Source organism: Homo sapiens, chromosome 10 (assembly GCF_000001405.40).
Source record: "Homo sapiens chromosome 10, GRCh38.p14 Primary Assembly".
Lineage (NCBI taxonomy): Eukaryota > Metazoa > Chordata > Mammalia > Primates > Hominidae > Homo > Homo sapiens.
This window is the reverse complement of record NC_000010.11, coordinates 80,924,888-80,932,987: the sequence shown is the minus strand read 5'-3', so window position 1 is coordinate 80,932,987 and position 8,100 is coordinate 80,924,888. Positions and strand designations below refer to the sequence as shown.

At 33.9% G+C, this 8,100-nt stretch overlaps 1 annotated feature.

Moving 5' to 3' along the window:
* Nucleotides 5,752-6,253: an enhancer, noted in NCBI's record as "NANOG hESC enhancer chr10:82686491-82686992 (GRCh37/hg19 assembly coordinates)". NCBI's record gives its function as "activates a minimal SCP1, AML or CMV promoter by ChIP-STARR-seq in naive H9 embryonic stem cells {active_cell/tissue: H9 hESC(naive)}" and the evidence as "EXISTENCE:reporter gene assay evidence [ECO:0000049][PMID:30033119]".

The window sequence follows — 8,100 nt, the reverse complement described above, 5'->3', positions numbered from 1 at the left end:
CACTGTGTCTTCACATGGTCTTTTCTCTGTGAGTGTACATAACTAGTGTTTGTGTGTCCAAATTTTCTCTTCTTATAAAGACACCAGTCAGATTGATTAAGTCCCACACTATAAGAGCCTTATGTTAACTTTATTGCCTCTTTAATGCCCTATCTCCAAATATAGTCACATTTTTCGGAACTGGGCATTAGAGCTTTAACATGAATTTTGTGGGGACACAATTCAGCTCATAACAATTTGCCTGGATACATTTATTGCCAGGTATTGTATTCTTATAAACACTATTGTAAACAGAATTGTTTTCTTAATTTCACTTTCAATTCTTCATTGCTAATATGTAAAAATATACCTGACTTTTCTATGTTAATCCTGCAAATTTTCTGAATTCATTATCTATGATACTTTTTGTGTATGGGTTCTTTAGGATTTTCTGTGTATGTCATCAACAAACAAGGGTAGTTTTACTTCTTCTTTTCCTATTTAGATGCCTTTTATTTATTTTCCTACCATTGAGTATAATGTTAACTGTGGGGTTTTTGTTGTTGTTGTTTTTTGCTTTTCATTTTAGTGTCCATTGACAGATTGAGGAACTTCCCTTCTAGTTATAGTTTGCTAAGCGTTTTTAATCTTAAAAGGCTGTTAGATTTTGTCTGATGCTTTTTATGCATCTATTGAAATAGTCATGTGATTTTTAAAATTATTCTTTTGACATAATATATGGAATTTATTGACCTTTATATATTGAACTACTCTTGCACACCATTTGATCATGGCGTATAATCATTTTAAAATGTTGTTTGCTAGTATTTTTGAGCATTCTTACATTTGCATTTGTAAAGGATATCAATCTATAGTTTTCCCGTGTACCTTTGGCTTTGGCATTAGGGTAATGCTGAGCTCATGGAATGAGTTAGGAAGTTTTTCCTTTTCTATTCTTTGGAAGAATTCGACAAAGATTTGTGTCAATTCTTCTTAAAACGAGTCATACAATTCACAAGGCAGGCCATCTGGTTCAAGACTTTTCTTTGTTATGAGATTTTTGACTACTGGTTCAATCTCATTTTCAATTATAGGTCTATTTATATTTTCTATTTCTTCTTTTTTTAAAGCTTTATTGAGATATAATTCATACACTGTACAGTTTTCCCATTTAAACTGTACAACTCAATGGTTTTAAGTACATTTTACAGATATGTTTAATTATCACCAGAGTCAAATTTATAACATTTTTATGACCTCAAGAAAGAAACTCTATCCCCTTTAGCTATCATCCTACTTTCATCCTGTGTTCCCCTGCTCCACACCCAAGCCTAAGCAACTACTATGTTCCAACTCTATAGGTTTCACTATTTAAAACTTTCATATAAATGGATTCATATAATATGTGCTCTTTTGTGACTGACTTCTTTCACTTAATATAATGTTTTCAAGGTTTATTCATGTTGTAACATGTATCAGTTCTTTATTATTTTTATGACTAAAGAATATTTTGTTCATTCATTTTGGGTTCCTTCTGCCTTTTGGAAATTATGAATAATGCTGCTATAAGTATTTGTATACAAGTTTCTATGTGCACATATGTTTTTACTCTTCTTGGGTACACACCTAGGATTGGAATTTCTGGATCATATAGAAAGTCTGTCTTTAATCATTTGATGAACTGCCAGATTGTTTTCCAAAGTGGCTGCACCATTGTACATACTCGACAGTATATGAGGTTCCAATTTCTTCAACTCTTCAGCAACATTTGTTTTTATCTGACTTTCTGATTACAACCATCAAGGGGGTGTAAAGTGGTACCTCATTGTGGTCTTATTTGTATTTACCTGATGACGAATGATGTTGAGTGTCCTTTGTTTATTGACCATTTGTGGTCTTTCTTGCAGATATTTCTATTCAAATAATTTGATTGTATTTTAACTTGATTGTCTTTTTATTATTAATTGACAAAATTTTTAAATTTTTTTAGGTATAGATTATCAGATTGCAAATATTTACTTCCATTCTGTTGTCTTTTCACTTTTTTGATGGTGTCCTTTGAAGCAAAAAGTTTTTAATTGCAATTAGGTCTAGCTTATTTCTTCTCTCATTGCTCATGCTTTTAGTGTCATATCCAAGAATATTTTGCCAAATTCAAGGTCAGGAAGATTTACCGCTACGTTTTATCATAAGAATTTTACAGTTTAGCTCTTACATTTAGGAATCTGGTCCATGTAGAGTTAATTATTGCATATGGTATAAGGTAGGGGTCCAACCTCATTCTTTTGCATGTGACATTCCAATTGTCCCAGCACTATTAGTTGAAAAGATTTCTTTCTCCTTCTAATGGTCTTAGGACCCTTGATGAAAATCACTCAACCATAAATGTATGGGTGTATGTATGGACTCTAAATTCGATTTCATTCAGCTATACGTCTATCCTAATGCCAGTATACAACCTTGCTTACTGTTGCTTTATAGTAACTATTGAAATAAAAAAAAGTATGAGTCCTCCACTTTGTTCTTTTTTTCCCCCAAGGTTATGGATCACTTGGAATTCCATATAAGTTTTAGAATTAGCTTGTCAATTTCTACAAATAAGTAATTCAGGATTCTTACAGTGATTGCATTGAATCTGTTAGAACAATTTGGGAATTATTGCCATCTTAATGTTAAATCTTCAGATTCATGAACATGGAATGTTTATCCACTTATGTAGGTCTTCTTTAATTTCTTGCACAATATTTTACAGGTTTCAGGGTACATGTTTTTGCATTTCTTGTTTAGTTTATCACAAAGAATTTTATTATTTTCAATGTTGTAAACAAAATATTTCTCTTAATTTTATTTTCAGATTATTTATTTCCAGTGTACAGAAATACAACCGATTTTTTAAATTTTGTAATCATGCTTAATTCATTTATTCTAATGGATTTTTAGTGGATTCTTTGGGATTTTTTTATATATAAGATATTGTCATCTGTAAACAGAGAGAGCTTTATTTCTCCCTTTCTATTTTGAATGTCTTCTATTTTTGTTTTTGCCTAATTTCCCTGGCTAGATCCTCTAGGAAAACATTAAGTAGAAGTGGTGAGAGTGACATCCATGTCTTGTTCCTGATCTTAGGAGCAAAGCATCAGTCTCCTACCATGAAGTATGATGTTGGCTCTGGGTTTCTCATAGATGTTGTTATTGGCTGAATGTTCATGTTTCTGCAAAATTAATATGTTTAAATTTAACCCCAATGTGGTAGTATTAGGGCCTTTGAGAGGTAATTATGTGATGAGGGTAAAGCCCAAACAGTGTGATTAGTGCCCATATAAGAATAAGCCAGAGAGTTAGCTTGCTCTTTCTGCCATGTGAGAATACAACAAGAAGTTAGCAGTCTACCAGAAGAGGGCCCTCACAAGAACTTGACCATGCTAGTTCCATGATTTTAACTACCAGCCTCCAGAACTGTGAAAAATAAGTTTCTGTTGTTTGTGGGCCACCCAGCTTATGGTATTTTGTTATAGCAGCTGAGCTAAGACAATAAAATTCTAGTTATTTTCTTAGTGATACCTGGGGATTATAATTAACCTCTTAAACTTATAACAATCTATTTTTAATTAATTCAATTTAGGCTCAATAATATACAAAATCCCTGCTTCTATACAGGCTACCCTTGCCCCTTTATGTTGTCACAAATGACATCTTTATTCATTGTGCTCCAATTAACATAGATTTACAATTTTTATGTATTTGTCTTTTAAATCATTTACAAATGGAAAGAGTTACAAATGAAAAATTCCACAATACTGGCTTTAGTATTTACATATGTTGCTACCTTTGCCAGGGTTCTTTCTTTCTCATATGATTTCAAGTTACTTTCTTGTGTCTTTGCTTTTGCCTGAAGGACTCTCTTTATCATTTCATGTGTTACATGTTTGCTAGTGACGAACTCCCATCACTTTTGTTTATCTGAGGCTCTCCTAACTTTCCCTCCATTGTTGAAAAAGAATATTGCTGAATATGGAATTCTTGAGTAACAGATATTTTTTCCTTCAGCACTTTTACTATGTCATCCCACTGCCTTCTGACTTCCAGTTTCTGCTAAAAATTGGCTGTCAATGTCATTGAGGGTACCTGGTATGTGACAGTCACTTTCCTATTGCTGCTTTCAGATTTTCTTTATTTTTAACTTTTGACAGTTTGATCATAACATAGCTCAGTGTGGACCTCTTTGCATTTATCCATCCTGGAGTTCAATGACCTTCTTAGATATGTAGTTTTGTGTCTTCTATCAAATTTGGGAAGTTTTCAGTCATTATTTCTTCAAATATTATTTCCCCATTCTCTCTTCTTTTGAGAGTCCCATTTTGAGTATATGTTGGATGGTGCCCCAAGGGTCTCTTAGGCTCTGTTTATTATCTTCATTCTCTTTTCTTTGTGCTACTCTTTCTTAATAATTTTAATTAACCTACCTTCAAATTTGCTGATTCTTTCTTCTGCCTGCTCACATCTGCTATTGAAATCCTCTAGTGGATTTTTTACTTCATTTATTATCATTCTCAGCCCCAAAATTCTTGCTGTGTTTCTTTCTATAACTTATAATTCTTTGTCAATATTTCCTATTTGGTGAGACATAGTTCTTCTGGTTTCTTTTAACTCCTTGAGCATATTTAAAACAGTTGACTTAAAATCTTTGTCTAGTAAGTCATTCAATGTCAGTGATTTCTCAGGAACAGTTTCTGTAGTTTCCCCTATGCATGTGCTATACCTCTTTTATTTGCATGCTTCTTATTTTTTTGTTGAAAACCAAACATCTTGGAATATTATAATGTGGCAACTCTAGAAATATGATTTTTCTTCCCTCTCCAGGGTTTGTTTTTGCTGCTTACTTTGGGTAGAGTTGTTTGCTTAGTGACATTTCTAATAATTTTTGTAAAGTCTAATTCTTTGTCATGTGTAGTCTCTGAAGTCTCTGTTCCTTTAGCTTGGTCAGCTAGGGTATTTACCGTGTCCACCTGGGATAAAGAAAGAAAAAGCAGGAAGAGAGAGAGGAAAGAAGAGAAAGAAACTTTCCCAGTCTTTGGAGATTGGCTCTGTGTTGGGACACTGATTTAATGCTTAGCCAGGCAATTTAGAACTCTGCCTTAGCCTTCTTTAACTGTTTGTGCTGAGCCTAGGGGTCATCCAGAGATAAAAGCTTAGGGTCTTTTCAGATTTTTTTCTGAGCACACGTTTTATGCCAAGCTTGTGTGTGACTTTCAAAAGTCCCTGATATACATGGGTGATATTCTTTCCCTAATTTCCCAAAGAATCTTTCTCCCAGGCTTTCAGCGTGTGTACTATTTGTGTCAACTGTAATCTTTAGCCCCAGATAGCACCGGGTTGCTCATTTGCCTTACAATGTTTTCAAGAAATACCCTAGGTATAGGTGCTTTCCTGCCCTGAAAAAGTTCAAAACTAGGTAAAACAAAGGCAAATGCTTTATATCAGTTCTTCAGGTAGTCCCCAAACAGTCAAAACAGACCAAAAAAGTTATTTGAGATTAAGTTTTTTTCTGCTCCGTCCAAAAGCAGGGACCAAGGCTTCACACTGGGAACAGCAGCTTCTGTCTTTAGACCACAACTGAGCTAGGGATGGCAGAGGGGTAAAAGCAGATAAAACTGCCACAAAGCTTTCTTGCCATTTTTACGTTATCTTTTTTGATTCAGTGTTTGCTTATTTGCTATAAATTTTTGACTATTTCCCAGAGTTCTGACAAAGTTGATTCTGACCATTTTCATTCAATTTTTCAGTGTTTTTTCTGGAGAGGCAGGCCTTTGGAACTACCTACTCTGTCATTTTAACCGTGGCCACTAAACTCATTGTAATTTTAAGTCAGTTATGATCAACTTGGCCCATTTTTTGCCTTTGCCTCCCAGTTTTGGGAGATTTTTTAACAGTGTGACATTTTAAGTAAGATCCCCTGCCTTTGAATTTCAGCTCTCCACTTACTAGATATGTGATCTTCAAGTGGTCACTCCATGAGGCTTAGTTTCAGTATTTGTAAATTAGGGATGATAACAATAACAATCATGTCCAGCTGTGAGGGGATATTAAAAAATGACAAAATGAATTAACATACTTGAAAAAAATTTTAAATTATAACATGAGAAAATACCAATTATTTTCAAATGTAAATTTTTTAAGTTGTAGTTTAACTTTCATTCCCTCAGCCATTCAATCCTATTCAAAATCTTTCAAGTATTTGTACTTAAAAAGACCTTTGTTTGATTATTTTTTATCAATCTTTCCAAAGACTGTAATATTCTTGCCACTTATTTATCATAAAAATATTTTAAATGAGAATGTATTTATGAGGAACATTAGCCAAAAAATATTATAAAAGTGTAAAACAGAATAAGATAATACACATTTTAATGTTATTGAGGGAAAAGTATATCTAGGGTTGCTCAAAATACTTGTTTCAATCAAAGACAATCAAAGAAAGTAAAGGTTTTGCTATCTCAGAAACACTACCACTCAGCTATTCAGGAACTTCCTTTCTCCAGTTCAATTTTGAAAGTTTAGAGTTCTTGTCAGAATGACACATAAGAATCACCTCTGGAGGTTTTTTGTTTTTGTGTTTTTTTAATACAGGTCCCTTTCTGAATTTGGAATAAGAATTAGAAGCCAAGCATATGTATTTTTAAAAAGCTCTGTAGAAAATTATGATAAGCAGTCAGGATTGAGAACCATCAATTTGAGTGTTTCTATATTGTTATACACAGGGGATACATTCCAAGACCCCCATTGAATGCCTGAAACTGAGGATAATACCAAACCCTATATAAACTGTATTATGTGTTTACATATACATGATACTTATGATAAAGTTTAATTTATAAAGTAGGCACAGTAAGACATTAACAATAATAATCAATAATAAAATAGAACAATTATAACAGCATGCCAGCATCACTAGTCTTGCATTTTGGGGCCATTATTCAGTAAAATAAGGATTACTTAAACACATGCACTGTGATACTATGATAGCCCATCTAATAACCCAAATGGTTGCTAAGTGACTAACAGATGGGTAGCATGTGTACAGCATGGATATGCTGGACAAAGGGATAATTCACGTGTCAGGTAGGACAGAACAGAAAGGCTTCAGATTTCATCACACTACTTGGAATGGCATATGATTTAAAACTTATAAATCTCTTTTTCTAGAATTTTTCATTTAATATTTTCAGACCACAGTAGACCTTGGGTAACTGAAACCACAAAAAGCAAAATGGTGGATAAGGAGTGACTATGTATAAAGACAATCAAGAGTAATATGGACATCCTAACATGCCACAGACCTTACTGTGCATCAATTTTACATATGCATAAAACATCATCACACCTATTAATATTTCCCTTGAGTCTGATACCAACGAATGCCATAGAAAAGTAAATTTTCCCATCTTACCATTCAACTGAGCTCAGAGTCAATGGACGATTCATCCAAGGTCAGCCTGCTAGGAAGTGACAGAATCACAGTCAGATCTTAGTTTGATATCAAGCCCAGTTCTCTTTCCACAGCACCAGATATGAACTTTTATAATGTGTTGTTCATACAGCTTTCTCATCTCTCATTCCTAACATTCCTACAGTGAACACTTTTTGGAAACCCAAGTCTTTTAAATTATCTGTATTTTAGGGCCTAGGGCCTTAACTTAGTCAAAGATTCTTGTTCTCCCTATCCTGTGTAAATATTGTGATTCAACATGCCATGCTCTCACCAACATCTACAGTAGTTCCACACATTTGTTTATCTACCTAAGATTCCTGCCCTTAAAATCTTCCTCCTTAGATCAACGCAATCTTTCCTTCCCTGGTTGTCCTTCTGGGTGTCTGTAGACCTACAGAAAAGCACATGATGTATGAATTGTTATTTACAGTCTCCGTCCTCATTGAAAATCTCTGTGTCACTCAGCAATCCATATCAGGGCTTATATTGTTCTCACTCTCTATTGCTTAACTCTTCAAAATTTCTCTCACTTTCTAGGCACTTTTCAACTCACTACCATCAGGGCTCTGTCCTGATTATTCCACTGAAACTGCTCCTGCAAGGAGCCCCTAATATCCAAATACAGTAAATTG